The 19,255-nt window shown below is 33.2% G+C and overlaps 1 protein-coding gene across 18 annotated transcripts in view; it reads right to left on the reverse strand.

Annotated features, from left to right (window-relative positions):
* CDH18 (cadherin 18) overlaps positions 1 to 19,255 on the reverse strand; it is a 1,104,418-nt gene that overhangs the window by 407,912 nt on the left and 677,251 nt on the right. Inside the window, exon 1 of one of the 18 annotated variants that reach the window (NM_001291957.2) lies at positions 6,907 to 7,065. The exons of the other annotated variants lie outside the window; for them this stretch is intronic. The gene's annotated coding sequence lies outside the window, so the exon portion shown is untranslated. Of the gene's footprint in view, positions 1 to 6,906; positions 7,066 to 19,255 lie in introns of those variants that run through there. 18 annotated transcript variants of the gene reach the window in all.

Raw genomic sequence — 19,255 nt, forward strand, 5'->3', positions numbered from 1 at the left:
AGAGAGATTTTTATGGGGTGGTAAGAATGCCCTAAGTGATTGAAAGGTTGTGTCAATTCTTAAGGTAAATAACAAGACTTGTAAGCCTTTAAAAAGAAGTTTGCCACATAACTGCTTGTTTTTCTTAGCTCTAGTATGGGGGAGCACATATTAATACATTAAATACTGACTTTACAACAATTCCCATATTTATAAGGAAATGATGAAAAGGGGAAAAAAAGACCTAAATGTTCTAGTTCACTGTTTAAATCTAAGTTCTGATATCTATTACTTGTATGATATTGGGTAAGTTTATTGAAATATCTGCTTTATTATTTCCTTAGGTGTGAATTAAATAGAACTTAAAAACACGGATTGGTATAAGTATACCTACAGCAGTAGATATAAAGTATTCATTAAAATAATTGGAACAACACTGTGATTGCAGCAAGCATTTGGTAAGTTTCAGTTGAAGTATTTAGAAACACCAAAATATGAAAGGCTTATATAGGAAATGGGATATGTGTGCATCACAGAGAGATCATAGATATTTAATTAAATACATTTGATTTGTTTAATTAGTTGTTTCTTTCAAAGACATAGTTGGAGTCTCCTAGTTTGGGCCTAACATGCTTGAAATATTCTACTGTGGCCTCTTCTCAGGGTTTCATTTGATGTCATGTCTATATACATGTTAAGAAAATACTTATTTATATCTTTTAAAGGTGACTTAATGAATTGTTTGCTTGAAATCCTGTTGTGTCCTACCAGGCAAATTATAGAAAACTATGTACACAAAGCCAAATCCTAATGTATTTCTATTTAGGGGCATTAAATATACCATGCAAACATACATTTGACATTGTAGAAATAATATGTTCCCAGAGTGTAGTATGAACCAGGCTTCTATTTTGGGAAAATGCTCAAAGAAATCATCATGTTCAGGTAAACTCTATATGTACTTCTATCTCTTTTCTTTTCTACTATCTAACTGACCCAAAACCACACACTGAAACTCCCTTAGATGGATATAAGACATGAAGTCATTCAAAAGTTACCAAAAGAAGTCCACAAGCAGAGGCCTAGCTATATTAGAAACTTAAGTATATTAAATTACATTTTATTTAAATTCAGCTTCCAAACAACAAATACCATTTACATATACAGAGGTGAATGCAAATCGAGTAATTTTAAACAAGAAGAAGCATTTTTAGAAACCCTAAAATGAAGAGTAATTATACTCATTTAGATAACCATCAAATCTATAGGATTTAGCTTTCAAGTGAATTAAGCATTGAAGAAGGATAGATTTATTTGACAGTCTGTTGAAGAGCTCCTCTGAATTGCAATATTTTTGGTTGATACACATGTGTACAAGACCAACTACTTTGAAAATGAAGTGCTGTGAAAAATGTCAAGAGATCAATTTGGTGTAATCATTGCTCTGGACTTAAGCACTGTGGAATGAACTACAGTAAATTATTCAAGTATCTCATTCTGAAGGGCACATTAAATAGCATTTAATTATGTCTGTTCAAAGCATGAAGGCATTTTTTAATGCAACATCCAAAATCTAAAATTAGTTTGAAAAATCTGTTTGAAACACTTGTATGCTCATAGAGAAACACTAAAAATCTCAGAAACTTTCCAAATAAAGATGCCATTAACTCTCAAAAGGAATGTTTCCCATTTAGTCACTTATCTATTGTTAATCTTATCTCTAAATTCTTATTGACTCTGTTGGCTGTAATTGTTGACACTGCAAACAATTTCTATTTACTCTTACTTAGCATGAAGCCTATAGCCCTGCAGGGAGTCCCTTTGAATTCACACAGTTAATTATTTCCTGCTCTCCAGGGAAGTGTTATTCTGGCAAAAGGAGAGGTGAGAGAGTTTATTAAACGGTGCCATAAGCTAGACAATCATATTATGAAGGGATATGTATGAAGGCAGAGGGCAGATACAATATTAATAAGAAAAATTACTAACATTTGGAAACAAGGAAAAGGGAAGAGAGTAAGTCCTTTCAATGCCTTGTTTTAATAGTGGGTCCAAAACTTATGTAAATATCTAGACAAATATTTCTTTGTCTTATGTGCTACCCACTATTGATTAAAGGTCAATACTCTGTTGAGTTACATAATAAATAGATTTTTTTTGTCAAGACAAATGCAAATGGTTCAGCCTAGTAGAAACTATAACATCAAAGGTCATGGTTTTATTTTCATGCAGAACATCAGTTTTGTATCTGGTCAAACAGATTTACTCTAGTCTAATGTTCATTATTCAAACGCTGACAAATACCCAGCTCTTCAAGTGCTTTTTTTTTTTTTTTTTTTAAGATGGAGTTTCACTCTTGTTAACCAGGCTGGAGTGCAATGGCATGATCCTGGCTCACTGCAATCTCCACCTCCTGGGTTCAAGCGATTCTCCTGCCTCAGCCTTCCACGTACCTGATTACAGGCATGCACCACCACGCCCAGCTAATTTTATACTCTGAGTAGAAACAGGGTTTCACCATGTTGGCCAGACTGGTCTCGTACTCTTGACCTCAGGTGATCCACCCGCCTCGACCTCCCAAAGTGCTGGGGTTACAGGCATGAGCCACTGCACCTGGCCTCAAATGCCTTTTGAATTACCTTTATTATTCTGCTGGTTCCCTACCTGATGGGCTTAATTACATCTTATACATGTTCATTCTGTATTCTATTATAACCATGTTGAACTATCCTGTAGTTCAACAGGGGAACAAATTTTTGGTATTTTTTTACATGGAACTTCATGGTATACCTCCACTAATTGTAATGTATTTTGAAAATCTCGACTTAGATGATGTCACATACAAATGTGACTATTAAAATTTCAACAACATATTATCTTTGTGAATTATTGCCAGGTTTGATCTCCTTCCATTAGTATTCTGTGTTCAAAAATCATCTGTGCAACTCATAATACATGTCTTACAATATTATTTTATTCATTTTTGGGAAGAAAATTGCCAACTCAAAAGCAATGTTCACAATTTACAGTTCTTTCCTTGTGATTCTTTGATTCTGTGTCTCATTACTTCACCTAGAAAATATTCTGAGTATAGGAATAGTTTATTATTTTTCATAATTCATTGTATATAACATTTAGGTAGATGTACATTCAGTAATAAATTCATTTTTATTATAAAATGCAAGCATAACATATAAGCCACATTACCTTGTGGCTGTTTTATTTTTAAAGTTATGTCAAAAAGTTTAATTTTCTTAGGATCATTAAGTCAAATGAATCTTAAGAGATAAAGAATTTCATACACATTGTTTAAAAATTGGAAATATTCTGAGTATTATCTAAATTAAAATAATAGTTTGGACTATTATATATTAAAAATACTAAGGACAAAGGTTCATTTCACTGTTTTACTTTAGTTTCAGAAAAGTTTTGTATCCAAACTCTCTGAAGTATTACTGCAGTGAAGGCATGGCATCAATATGTGCTAATTGTGATGTGAATGAAGATACCAAACCTTAGAAAGAAGTCTCAGAAAATTTTTCATTAATATGTAATCACTGTCATCTTAGAATTAATGCCCTAAGAGAATGCCAGAAAAAAATACGTATGTATGATTATGGAATAGATATTACTATATTTACATCCTCACTGATAAATGAAAGAAGCAAGAACTATGAAATTTAACTGTAAGTTATCAGGTATCAAGATATCTTTGGATGCATTTTTGTTATCTTTATAAAATTACTATTATATTTATATGACCAGATGACTTTCAAATTAATAACAAGAATAATATATGCTATTAAATATATTTAGCCCTTTAAAGGAAAGGTGTGGTTGGGCTTTTCAAGGTAGTTTAACCCTGAAACAGAAGAAATAATCTGTGCAAGATACTCTGCCTCCCACGTGCTTCAGACAGCCCCAAATGCTGGCTCGAGAGCACTGACCTTGACTTACAGAATCAAAATCTGTGGGCATTGGCTGAAAACTACATTTTAAATAAGCTTTTCAGATGATTCTTATGACACTTTGGAATCTAACGTTAGGAAGCTAATGCTTAGCATCACTGGTCTTGAGAAATGATATAAACAGTTCTTTGAAACGAAGATTGAGTTCAAATTGTGTTACACTCTGTGATACCGTTAGAGTAGCACTCAAGTCACTGACGAAATCACAAGCAGTTTATACACTGAAACCTACTCTTGGTCATACAGGTTTTCACACAATGACTATCCATTGATTGTTTACTACATCAACATTTTTTTTTTTTTGGTAGGGCTTTGTGATATATTTGACTTCTAAGCATGAGTTTTGCCCTTTCATCTCTAATGATTTAGAAAAAGAACCATAATTGTTTTGTCCAGTATTACATTTTCAAAGTGAGTTTCTCTTTTATATTTGTTTATATAGTTTAAATATTACATTTTATTTGTTCAGTATCATGTCTTAAATGCAAAGATTATATTCTGAATATTAGCTAGAATTTGAAAATGCCAAGTGAATTGGATCTGAAATAAAAAGGGGTTTGACGTTCTGTTTTTAAGGCAAAATGTTTATTCTACTTGAATTTTTACTTTCAAATGCAGAACTAAATCTCAACTTGTAAATATACAAGGATAGACGAGAGTTTACTGAAGCAATGTGCTTACTCTTTTCAATATTAAAATAATACTTTTGCTTAGTATAATGCTAATATATAATATTAAACTATTATTCATGTCATCTTCGTTTAAATTATATTTTACTTTCTGAAACATGACTTAAAGAATACAATTTGATTTGTGTTTTACAGGCCATAAAGTGTTTATATCTTTTTAATGTGTGATTATTTTTATGTGCAGTAAAGCATGGGTTGTCAGTTGGATATGTTGAAATGTATAATCTTTAAGCCTTTTATGGAGATTTCTGTGAATAGCACATCTTTTTCTATATATTTTCAACTGACAGTCAATGGGAAGTTAAAATTACAGCTACAGTTAGAGCCCCATGTTCTACTAAAAAGTCTGAAAACAAATTTTGCGGCAAGGTCGCCTACTTCAGCTCATTTCTTGCTATAAAAGACTGTTAACAAAATTGTTTTCACTAAAACTTTGATGATTTTGGCAGTTGATTCTCTGAGGTAAACTTAAGACCTATTAATGGAACAGAATGAGAACAATAAAAGGAGAACTAAACAGTCCTGAAATAAATTAGAAATATAGAAAAGTTATTAAATACTGCCTAACAGAGCATTATTTTACCTTTGAGGCTAATTTCTATTTTAAGTTGAAATCTATCATTTCATTTCTTACTGAAAAGAGTTCCTATACAAAACATTAAAATTATAAAAAATACATAAGTCATCCAAAATAGTATATAAGTATATTGTACAATATTATTAAATTATAAAAGATACATAGATTAAAAGAAATATGGGAAATAAATAATATAAATGTTTTACATACTTATGACAACTCTGTGTTTTAAAATAATATAAACGTTTTAAATACTTGTAACAATCCTGTGTTTTTAAAAAAAGTATTGGTGTGAATCATCTTTTATGTTATTTTATCATTTTATTGTTGCTTGAAAGGACAGGATTATTTCTAGAAGCTTAAGTAAGAAATTTAAATCTTTACAAAAATTTTTTAAACAGTCACTCTTTCTCTTTCCACTAAACTAGTATGATATGTAGTACAGCAAGGTTATCAAATAATAGCATTTATAAATAACAGAACAAAAGCAAACTAGGGACATTATAATTAATGGATTATAATTAATTTTTCACACTATCAAGACATTATACATTTTTGCAAAGTGATATTGGTAGTTTGAGATGTTACGGCAGTTCAAAAAAATAATAATGTATCACTAATCAACATACATTTATCCCACCTCCTGCTTCCTTTTTCCACTGCCTTCCATATTATGGGCGAAAAATTATTTCAAAATTAGATAACTTTGTGGTTAAGGGAATGAACTCTGGTGCCAACATATCAAAGTTCAAAATCTAGCTCTATCTTTGACTATCTCTCTGGCTGAGGCCAAGTGACTTAATCTCTAAAACCTTCATCTTAACTTGTACAATGTATATTAAAACAGCATGTACTTTGGAAGGTTGGTGTGACCGTTAAGTTATAATGACATCCAGTTTATTTTAAATGCTGTCAAGAGTACTAGCTGTTATCAAGCAAATCAGATTTGCATACAGCATTTGGCATGATGTCTAAAAAGGGACAGTAAATCTGTAATGTGATTTCATACATCTAAGAATAATTCATTAGGTTTTATATTAGTGTAAAATACATCGGTTAAAAAATGCATTAACATTTGTTGTTTACATCTTAAATTGCCAAACAAAGATAACAAACTGTACTTAAGAGCAAGAGATCTGGCTTTAGAAAACAAGAGTTCTACAGGGTCTTGATCTGTTTGCTCAGGCTGGAGTACAGTGGTGCGATCATAGCTCACTGCAGCCTAGAGCTTCCGGGCTCAAGTAATCCTCCTGTTTCAGCCTCCTGAGCAAGCTAGGACTACAGGCATGCACCATGACACTCAGCTAATCTTTATTTGCAAAAATGTAAAACAATGCAGCTCTTCTATTATTTTTAAATACAGCTATTTTTCATAACAACAGATGACATGCTAATATGCAATGAGTTGTTATTGTTATTTTAGAAAATTAAAAGGAATGTGTTTACAATTTCTTAGTTTTAATTTCTTATATGGTGAGCGTTGATAGATCTTATCTACAGAAACAAAATCTCTTTATGGTCCTCAATAAATTTGAGAGTGTGTGAGACCAAAAAGTTTGAGAACTTCTGTATCATGCCATTTTATTTCCATGACCATAGCGGTAGCAAGGAATTTCAATGAGTTTTTCACAATCACAGGTTTCTTCTTAAAGCAAAAAAGTAAAACAAGAATAAAACTGATTAACTCACATACTTTGGTTGAAGCATCTCTAATTATCACACCACTCAATCTTTATTACTTGATACTGGGCTCAGAATTGGACCCTGAATAAAGCCAGCTGACAATAATCTTTCTTGGATCTAGAATTTAGATTCTGCTGGTGAAGTACATTAGATGACTGCAGTACTTAAAATGAAAATGCACCCAGTACCTGATTTAGCTTTCGTGACATGGTGAGTCAAAGCCACATGCAAGCTAAAAGCTATGCAGTAGAGGAGATTGCATGAGTAAGCGAAGAAAGCTAGCTGGCAAAAAGAATCAAAATCACAGAGAGGACAGAAACAGAGACAAGAGGCAATTATTTCAGTTGCCAAATATGAAGAAGCAACCCTAAATTCTGACATCCAGTCCGAGTTTCTACAAGCCAGTTAAATTTTTATTTTCTGACTTAGGATGTTCCTGAGATTTGCTGTGTTTCCTCGCAATCAATCTTTCTCTTTTGAGTATGTGTGTTACTCCGGTAATGTATCTTTTATTGTAATAAGCTTTCATAGAAATATATGACATATATAGGAGGGTGGCCACACTTGTTTCAATATACACTTCAGTGATGTTTGTAAAGTGAAAGCACCTGTGTAATCACATCCAGCTCAAGAATTACATCACCAGTATCCAGATGTCTACACGTGTCCCCTTTGTTCACTGGTTTTCAACAAAGGTAACCTACCTCTGCTGTCAATTAACTTGAAATAATTATGTCATATGATATACTATTCTTTTTGTGTGGATTCATTCATTCATCATTGTGTGTGTCGGATGTATCCATTTCATAAAACATAGCAGTAGCTTGATCTTTACATTGCTATATATTATTGCATATGACAAATTACCAATATTTATTTATGCATACTGTTATTGATGTATATTGGGTTGATTTAGTTGGGTACCATAATAAATAAGGTCAGTATAAATACACATATACTTGGCTTCAGGTGCCCACATGTATATGCATTATTTATGTGATACATACACAGAGCTAAGAGAAGAATGGCTAAAAATTTGTTTTTTTGTTTTTTGTTTTTTTTTTTTGCTACCCTTGGCCATTTACTTTTTCACATACAACTTATAATTAGCTTATACCAAAAACGTAACAGCGCATACTCACTACCAGTTTATTCCCAAACAGCTTTCCAATGTAGCTATTTCTCCTTATCTCATTGGTTTCTATGAGTTATATTCTGAGATAACCGCATTGCCTAATATATATTTTATATATATGTGTGCGTTTGATATATCTCCTGTGCTTTATCCCTCTCCTCATGATCTGTTTTGATGAATAGATTTTTAAAATAGATTTATTAACTTTTCTTTAATAGTGATTTACGTTCTATTTAAGAAACAAAATCATGATGTTATTCTCATGTGTCTTTTTCCCCAAAAGTTGTATTGTTTTAATATTCACCTTTAGCTCTACAATCCATCTGGGACTTGCTTTTTTTTTCCTCTAGAGACAGTGTCTAACTCTGTCTTCAGTGTGGAGTGCAGTGGCATGATCATATTTCACTGTAGCCTTAACCCCCTGGGGTCAAGTGATCTTCTTGCCTCAGCCTCCCAATGTGGCTGTGACCACAGGTGCACACCACCATGTGTTTTTTTTTTTTTTAATTTTTTTGTAAAGACTGGGTCTCACCTTGCTCCCCAGACTAGTCTTGAACTCCTGGACTCAAGCAAGCCTCCTGCCTCAGCCACCCAAAGTGTTGAGATTTACAGATGTGAACCACCACACCCAGGGTCTTACTTTTGTATATGGTGTGAGACAAAGGTCATGGTTCAATTTTTTTGAATTGAATATTCAGTTGATTCAGAAACATATGTCAAAAAGGCCATGCATACACAATTGCATGGTGTGGCCACCACCTATATCACAAATTATATGGCAGTATTTGTATAGGTAGGTTCTAATCTCTCCATTCTATTCCCTTATTCTATTTGTCTCTTCTGAGATTTCTATCACACTGCTTTACCATGTTGCATTATAATTAGCTTTGATGTAAAATAGTGCTAGCCCTCTACCCTTTTCTTCTTCAAGATTATTTTTGCTATCTTTGGCCATTTGCATTTTCACGTACATCTTACAATTAGCTTGCACACAAAAACATACATGTGCACACACACCGACAGTTTATTTTTATTTTTTAAATGGATGCTACAGACCTATTTTGAAAGAATTCACATCTTCACAACACTTAAATCCTTAACAAGGTATATATTTCCTTTTATTTATGTCTTCTTTGTTTTTTTCAGTAATGGCTTTAGGAATTTTGTATGTGTGTAAGTCTTAGATATCTTTCATTAGATTTATTTCTAACCATTTCATGTTTTCTGATACTCACACACCACACATATATATGGTGTGTTAAATTTATAAATGTATATAAATTTATATATATGTAGTAGTTTAAATTTTAAATTTCTAATTTGGGGCTGGTCTATAGAAATAAAATTAGTGTTTGCATTGTGGCTTTCTAACAGAAAATCTGCTAAAATTATTTACTAATTTCAGTTATTGATCTGTAGAATCTGTGCAATTGTTTATGTGCATAGTCATCCTCCTTTAAATATCACATTTAAAAATTTCTTCTTCATTAGATGTTACACTCATATTTCATGTTCTTTGCATTAGCAGAGGCCTCCTGTACAATTTTAAATAGAAGTCCTGGTAACAGACATTTTTTTACTTGTTGTTGATTTCCAGAAGAATGTTTTAATTATTTTTGCCAATAAATATGTTTGTTTTCAATACGTTTTTACCTGGTAAAGGAAATGCTGTTTTATAGCTTCCCTTGGTATCTGTGAGGGATTCATTCCAGGACCCACCAGGGGTACCATAATCTGTGCATGCTCAACTCTGTGATATAAAATGACATAGTATTTGCACATAATATATGCACATCCTCCCATATACTTCAAATCATCATTAGATTGCTTATAACCTAATAAATGTAAATACTATGTAAATGGTTGTTGTATTGTATTTTTTTAGGGAATAATGATAGCAAAAAAGTCTGTACATTTTCTGTACAAAGCCAATCATCAGGTCTTTTTGAATATTTTCTATGTATAGATAGTTGAATCCAACAATGTACTACTCATGGATATGGATGGCCATTTGTATATCTAGTTTGCTAATAATTTTATAATAAATTGACATCAAATGTTAGCCAATTTTTTTTCTGTACCTCTTGAGAGAAATGTGTAATTTTTCTCCAACATCCTATAAAATTTTTGAAATTTATTGAGTTTCAAACTTAAATGACCATGTGTTTCAGAAATAAGTTCAGCCTAGCTATTTTTTATAGCTCTTGTATTTTTGTGTTAATATTTTTATGAGTTTTGAATTTATATTTAGGGGAGACTCTGGCTTTTGTTTTTCTTTTGTTATAATATCATTAGTTGATCTCAATAAACCATTACTGTCCTATTCTGCAGAAGAATTTATCTTAAAATGCTGTTATTTTAAATGAAAATATTGTAAAGGATTTACATCTGATGCCACCAGGCCTAGGGTTTTCCTTAAGGGAAGGTTTTTATAGTACTTGACTTTTAAAATCAAAGGATCTCTGATTAGAAAAATGAGATCTAGCAATTTATATTAATTTTTAAAAGGCCTAAACACACATATGGTCACAGCCAAAAAAAGTCATGATTTTAAAATGTGCTCATAAAATGCATTATCTAATAACAATAAATCAGAGATATCAGATTGTGTCCAAAATGCTGTTTGCTCCAGAAGAGAATTACATGCGATATCATATAAATATGTACACATGAGAAAAATCTTGCAATGCAAGATGAGGCTATTAACAGGAAAAGGCCAAATGGTTACCATCTAAGAATCTTCTGAAGATGAATTACTGTATTTGTTTCCAATCTCTAGTATAATCAAATTACCACAAACTTGGTAGCTTACCACAAAACAAATTAATTGGTTTACAGTTCTGGAGTTCAGAAGTCCAAAATGAGTCTAACAAGCTAAATAGTCTTGGCAGATTCATGCTCCTGGAGGTTCTGGGGGTCATCTGTTTTCTGTGCTGTTACAAGCTTCTGGATGCTGCCTGCATTTCTCAGCTTGCAGCCCCTTCTGCCATATCAGAGCACATCACACTCCACCTTCCTGGACTGTCACATCTCTCTCTGTTTTACCAACACTTGTGATTACTTCGGGCCCACCCAGATAAACCAGGAGAATCTCCCATCTCAAGACCCTTAATCACATCTGTAAAGTACTTTTTTTCCATGTGGTGCATTTAGAGGTTCTGAGGATTAGGATGTGGAAATCTTTGGGGGACTACCATTCTGCCTGCTACAATGGTCTTGTTGAATATATAAATGTCCAATGGCTAAGCTCCATTCAAAGATACTTGGCTTGCTGAGAAACGACACAATTTTGACACTGCACAGAAAATGCAGACATTTCACATTAATCAAACTCAGAACAGCATTAGCCCAGAACACCATTTTTTTTTTTTTTTGAGACAAAGTCTTGCTCTGTCGCCCAGGCAGGAGTGCAGTGGCATAATCTTGGCTCACTGCAACCTCCGCATCCTGGGTTCAAGTGATTCTCCTCCCTCAGCCTCCTGAGTAGTTGGGATTATAGGCGCCCACCACTATGCCTGGCTAATTTTTGTATTTTTATTAGAGACGGGGTTTCACCATGTTGGCCAGGCTGAACATCAATGTATTTTAAATGTCATATAGGTTGCAATACTTTTTCCAGAATAACCACAATGGTCACTTCTTATAGATAGATTTGCGTAGAAAACCAATTTAAAACCAGTTTCTGAGTGAATGTGGAATCAGAAAAAGAAGATTTAGTTACATAATAGACAACTTTACTATTAATGGGTGAACTATCTATTTCCACAATAGTGGATAACATCCTTAGTAAGACTCTAATATCCAAAATTCATTATGTAATTCTTACTTCCTTGTCAATTTCTACCCTTGGCACTGGCATCCTTTGGCTTGGTCTGCTCTCTGTATCATTCCATTTTACCTATCCCTGTTCTAAATGATATAGTCTTCAATATGCCTTTATCTGTGGATCTAAGAATCTTTCTATCTCGTTCAAGTGACAGTGCACCTCCAAAATAAAATGTGCTGATTTTATAGTTTCACTTTCTAACATCAGTATAATTTTATTTATTTCAGAATTCTTGTCTGGATGGCAGAGGAATGGGGATAGGGCTAACGTGTGAGTAGAAACCTTTCCCAAATCAAAGGTTCATGACTAAGAGCATAATCCTGAATCCTTACAAAAAATATTTTGTGGAAACTAGAACCCTTCAACTTGAATTAGTGTTGCTTCAGAGATTATGTTATGCACAAAATGAAAGATAATCACGTAAAAGATAATTTATAATTTTTTTACTCAGTTTAAGTAATAACTCACAATACAACTTATAACAGCCCCAAATTGATCAAGATTCCCACATTATCTCCCTCAGGAGATAATGAATTCCCTGTTATAAGTGCCTCAAACAACATTAACTGGATTATATTCAGGAGAAGATTCTAGCCTCAGATTGGTGTGAGATCCATGTAACCTCTGAATTTCTCCCCAGGCTGAGATACTCTGTTTTCAGAATAGAAACATCAGCTTTGGAAATGATACAAACCTCCAGCCTGGGCAGATCCCATCTCCCTATTATATATGTTTGCTTTCTAACTGACTCACACATTTACTAAGAGAATGGAATGTAATTACATATTTTATGTTTAAAAGCATTTCCTAGGAGCAAAGCAGGAGAGAAGGACACTTCGAGAAACAAAGATCAAATGAAGAGTTGCCACAGATGAGATGTCTTTAAGGGCATTGTCTTGCTGACTTTTTATTTGGCTGTGTTTCAAGCTCACTTTTCTGTTCTCTTAGTCCTAGCACTTTGTGGGAAATGAGGATGAGTAGTAAATGTGCAATTGGGTAGGTGTCAGGGATGATAAAAATGCAAAATAAAAACTAGATTTAATTTGAAAATTTAATGCAATAGGAAACAATAGAAATAATTAAGGTTTAACTCTATTGCAAATAAAAGTTAGAAGACACTGTCTGAAGTAGCTAAAGTATCCTTAGAGCTAAAATTCTACTTGCTTGGTTAATAAAGGACAAGTATATCTTTAAAGTGCTCTAGCTAATGTTAGTTTACCTTTGGGAGGAAAAATAATGCGGTGATATATGATACTCATTACTTTTTGATATGTTAAAATAATAAATAAGGAAATTCAATTTTACTTTTTCATATTGAGAAAGGGTTGGAAACAAGAATTTGTGTAGGGCATCAACTTTGTAATGTTATTACCCTCATAATCATCAATTATATTGTCTAAAATTCTTAACACTGGAATGACTTATTTAGCTAAGAGACAGTCTCCAACGATCTGTAATCCTCATGTGCATTTCCTCCTGGTATTTATGTACCTGTATAGTCCTCTCTGACATGGAGTAGGGTGAACCTGTGACCAATAAGAATATTGTAGAAATCATGGAGTGTGACTTCCAAAAACTCTTCACCTTGTGTTCTCTTGGATTGTTCACTCTGTGGAAAGCCAGTTATCAGATCACACGGACATTCAAGCAGAGGCCCAGATAGAAAGGTACCGATTCCGAGAACATATGGGTGAGCTCATTTTCTAGGCCCAGTCAAGATTTCAGAAGATGACATCCCTGCCAACACTTCTTGAAAGTGATCTCATAAGAGACCCTGAACCAAAACCACCCACTTACGTGGCTTCTAATTTCTTGATCCACAAAAGTGATGCAACATATTAAACACTGGTTGTTATTTAAGCTGTCAAGTTTTGGAGTAATTTGTTATGCAGTGCCATGGCCTAAATGCTTTTGTCTCCCCAAAAGTCATATGTTAAAACCTAATTCCCAATGTGATAGCAGTGAGAGATGGGAAATTTGGGAGGTGATTAGGTCATGAGAGTGAAGCCCTCATGAATGGCATTAGTGCTTTTATACAAGAGGCCTCCCAAACAGCTCCCTCTGCCCCTCTGCCTCTGAGGACACAGGAGAAGGTACCAGGAGGTGAGTTATGGATATCCCAGCTTCCAAAACTGTAAATTACTATTGTTTGTAAGCTAGCTAATTCATGGCCTTTTGCTATAGCAGCCTGATTGTACTAAGCTATGCAGCAACAAGAAACTGATACAATATAAAATATATTTGTGTATGTTAATATTGATACAAATTGTGTTAATAAGTACACTAGAATTAGTACCATAGTGAGAAAAGTTTTCCCCAAATAGCGTTTGCATATATCCACATTATTTCTAGACACAAGGAATTGCTGAATCACACAGAGGGACTTCAAAAAGAAAGGACCAAATTGTATTTTCAGGACCACATAGACTGACACAGCTTGATAATGACTTTAAAAAGCATTCCTAGTTTGTAAGCAGAGGTTATTTACACACATATACATACATTCATTTTCTCTCTCTTTCTCTCTCTCTCTCCTACAAGATTATTTAGCCTCACATTACAACAGATTCAGGGGGAATATTAGGGAGGGCACAACTGTAGGGGAACTTCAGTCTTGCTTATTTGTACTGAGTGGTAGAGACTATTTAAGGAAGATTTATGGAAGTTAATGTGACTTTTCAGCACTTGTTGTTTGTTATTTTTGCTCACCTAAATTCTCTTTTAGGAAGCTATTGTTGCTAAAATGTGGTGGAAATTGATTTCCAGTGAAAACATATATTTAGCCTCCTGTTATTTTTAACTCATTATCTCATATTGAAAAACTCCTATATTAAAGATCAGAGGTGGGAAAGTAAACAAGCAGCATGTTCTATGATTTTACAGAAGTAATTTGCATTGTCAAACCTATCATTATCACCTTGCATACCCGCTATCTTTTTGCTTTTCTTGCATTTTAAAAATTATTTATCTTAAAATAGACTGTACTGATTGAAAAGTAAGAGATTTTATATTTATTTCTTTTTTAAAGAGAGATGCAAGGGCTCCATAATTTCTAATAACCCTCAAACACATTAAAGAATCAAGAATCTCTAGAAAAAATCCACTGATATTTTAAAATTGGATCTATTTTAGTTTTTAAACTTCCTCTTTTAGGTGAAAGACTACAGTATTTCAATGTAAACATATCAAAAATTTAATAACCACTTGACTATTTGGATGCCATTGTTAATAGAAGTGATATGTTCATATGAATACAGGTTTTTCTACAAAACTCAGGATACTTTAACCAGTTAAATAGATACATTTCACATGTCTACTGAGTATTCTAATACATACTTAATATGAGAAATAGACATAGTAAACAAATGGCATATTAAGAAAATGACAAGATCATAAGTCACTAGGATTAAGTAAATGTCTGGCTACCTAAAAAAAAATATTTCTAAATTCATAAATTGGATTATTTAAATTATTAAAATAAACATATACTGAAGTTCCTGTAACAGCAACTTATTCTTTATATTTTTGTGAAGATATTTTCTATTATTATAGAAAATTAAGAAACCATATGTGCATTGTGAGCTGAATAAAATTGCATTTGTTTTGGTTGTCATACAGCATTTTACAAATGAGTTCCCATTTATCTTCATAGCTGTTTGTACAAGCATTTGGGGCTAGAAAGTCAGTAACATTTGACCTCTGAACATTTCTATCTTTTCTCAGACTTGTTCAATGTTAGTGAACATCAAAGAGTAATTTATCACTATGTCACACTTGCCTGAAGAATTTCTTAGGGTCTCAAGAAGAATGATGAGGTTAGTCTTTAAGTCCTGAAAATTCCTGAAGGTGAATTTTTCTCTCTGATGTACACAGATAATTCTGTCTTTGCTGAAGATTTGCTCCTGTGTCTTTGTTCTCATTGCAAATGTTTAGGTTTTAGGTTGCCTATTCAATATTTCCTTTTTAATGGAACCTTGGATCTAAATGCTCACTTGAACACTGCTCTATGTAGTAGATATTTTGGCCTAAATCTGGATTATGTTCACTGCTGGGATAGAGGCATGTTGGCTGAATTTATGGGAAAAATCCAGCTGAAGTTTTTATTATAGTGTCAATCAGGGAACAGAACTGAGATTCTCCCTGAGAAGAAACTTGAGCTGAAATAGGTAGATTTTTGATGGAATGTCTTGCAAACTGGTAAGGCTTTCAATAAAAGTCTGTGTTGCCAGGAAGTATAAGAAGAAGCCACAAATGCTGAGCTTGATCTTGTTTAAGGTCATACTTTTTATAAATGAGTGGTTTTTCTGATGAAAGCATTGGGCTTACTTGAATTTGTCTTAGCTGTAAGACTGTGAGTCTTAAAAGAGCAAAGGGTCTGAGAGTTAAAAATGATCAAGTTCTAAACCTCCCAGCAGTTCCAAACGACCCAGCAATTTCACTCCTGGGTATTGATCCCAGAGAAATGAAAACTTATGTTCACACAGAGACCTCTACACAAATGTTGATAGCAGAGTTATTTGTTATAACCTGGATCTGAAAATAACTGAAGTGTCCTTCCACAGGTGAATCACTAAATAAACCATACAGCCATACCACAACGAAATGGCTCAGCAATAAGAAAATAGACTATTTATAAACATAACACTCGGATGAATCTCCAGAGAATTATGCTAAATGAAATAAGCCAAACCCCAAAGGTTACATATTAAATGACTTTACTTATATAACATGATTGAAATGACAAAGATACAGAGTTGGAAAACAGGTAAGTAATTTCCAGGGGTGAGGGGACCAGTGAAAAGCAGTTGAGACTGAGGTAGACATGGTAAAAGGGGCTGTTCTGTATTCTGACTGTGATGGTAGCTACACAAATCTAAACGTGGAAGACTGAAAAATGGTCCCCAGAAAACATCCATGCTTCAATCTCTGCAACCTGTGTCGCATTATTTGGGGAAAAAAAAATGGTCCTTGCAGATATGGTTAAATTAAAAATTTTAAAATAAAGAGCTTGGTCGGACGCAGTGGCTCACACCTGTAATCCCAGCACTTTGGGAGGCCAATGCGGGCAGATCATCTGACGTCAGGAGTTTGAGACCAGCCTGGCCAACATGGTGAAACCCCTTCTCTACTAAAAGTACAAAAAAATTATCAGGGCATGGTGGTGGCAGCCTGTAATCCCAGCTACTTTGCAGGAGAATCATTTGAACCCAAGAAGCGGAGGTTGCAGTGAGTCGAGAACACATCATTGCACTCGAGCCTGGGCAACAAGAGTAAAACTCCCTCTCAAAAAGATAAAAATAAATAAATAAAATAAAGAGCTTATCCTAGATTACTTGGGTGAGACCTAAATACCATCATAAACCTCCTTCTAAGAGAGAGGCAAGGGGCTAGGTACACACATAAAAGATGAGGCTGTGTGATCACAGAGGAAGAGATTGGCATGCAATGACACCAGCCACTGGGAGCTGGAAGGCCAAAGAACAGATTCTTCCCTAGAGCCTCCAAAGCGAGCACAGCCTGGCAAACACCTTGAATTTGGTTTAGTGATACTGACTTTGGACTTCTGGTATCCAGAACAGTGAAAACCAATTTCTAGCGTTTTAAGCCAATGAATTGACGGAAATCTGTTACTAATTACTATATGTGTGATAATATTGCATAGAAACACAAATAAATACATATGCAAACGAGTACATGTAAAATTAAGGACATCTGAGTTAGATTGGTGGACTATATTACTACCAATTTTGTGGTTTTCATATTGCATTATAACTTTACAAGATAGAAGTTAGGAAATTAGAGAAATGGGTTAAAGAGTACATGGGATTTCTCTGTGTTACCTTAGATTTGCATGTGAATCTATACTTATCTCAAAATTAAAATTTAATTTAAAAGATGATAGAGTTGTTTCATTGTTAGAAAGAAACAAACAGTAGAATATCTTCATGACTTTAGTGTTTGCAAAGATATCTTAAAAACAATGCAGAAAAGCATATTAATCATAAGGAAATATGTTAAGGTAAAATATATTAAACTAAGAAATATAATTCCTTAAAAGAAACACCCATTAATAGAATGAAAAAGCAATCTAAGGGTGAAATAATATATTTGCCATACAATTTATATGACAAATTCCTCATATAAAGAGTTTCTACAAAACAATTAAAAAGCCACAGTGAAAAAAAGAAATGGGCAAAATGTTTAAACCGAATGTCTTCACTAGAGTGATATCCCATATTGTTGCTAAACATATAAAACAATGATGAAATTTATTAATTATCAAGGAAATGTGAATGAAGACCACAAGGTGATACCACTATATACTCAGCAGAATGGCTGAAATTTAAAAGACACATAATACTATACATTAGTCAGGTTGTGGACAAACTACAATTTTCTTACATTGCCCACACATTTAAGTTGGTGTATGCAATATGAAAAACTACTCAGCAATATCTACTAAAACTGAATATACATATACACTATGATTCAATAATTCTACTGATGAAGCCAACAGAAATAAGTACATATATTTTTCCAAAGGCACATACACGTATACCTAGAGCAACAATTTTTACAATAATCCTAAACTGAAAAAAAGCCAAATGTTCATCATTTGAATAGTTAAATACTCCTGTATTCATACATATCAATATTATACAGCAATAATCATGAAATAATTACAACTATATGCACCATTATGAATGGTGCTAAATGAAAGAAAAAAAGAGAGTCCATAGTGAACAAGACTATTTATTTGAAATTCAAAATCTGGTAAATTAATCTATGAAAGTAGAAGTCAGGAACCTTGTAGGGGGTGAACAGCAATTAGCATAGCATAATTTTGTATTTTGATGCAATTCTGTTTCTTTATCTGGATGAAGGGAACATGGGTGAGTTCACTCCATGAAAAGTCATTGAGTCGTACTTATGATATGTATGCTTTTCTATATGCATGTGATGCTTCAATTTTTAAAAATGTGTTTCTTTCTGTACCTATTCTGAATGTTCTTTAGTTCCAGAAACTATACTAAAGAGATTGCAATGCATTTATAGACTTGGGAATTATTTTTCTCTATATTATTTTATTTATCTCTGTATTATTTTCTCTATGTTATTTATTTATCAATAGTATTTTAATATCCAAGAGTATGCCATATCTTTTCATTATGTAATATTTATTCCTTTAAGAACAGCTTTTCAGTATTTATTTAATGTAGGTCATACAAAATTGGTGGTCACATGATTTTCCTATTTTACATGTAGTCCAATCATTGTTCTTATAGTTAAAAAAAACTTTTTAATATACCATGTCTTCTAATTGGTTAATAGTGATATATAGGCAATATTTTCCAAATTTCAGGGTGCCTTTTATAAAATTAATCAAGAATGTTCTTC

This window comes from Homo sapiens, chromosome 5, assembly GCF_000001405.40.
Source record: "Homo sapiens chromosome 5, GRCh38.p14 Primary Assembly".
NCBI classification, from domain to species: domain Eukaryota; kingdom Metazoa; phylum Chordata; class Mammalia; order Primates; family Hominidae; genus Homo; species Homo sapiens.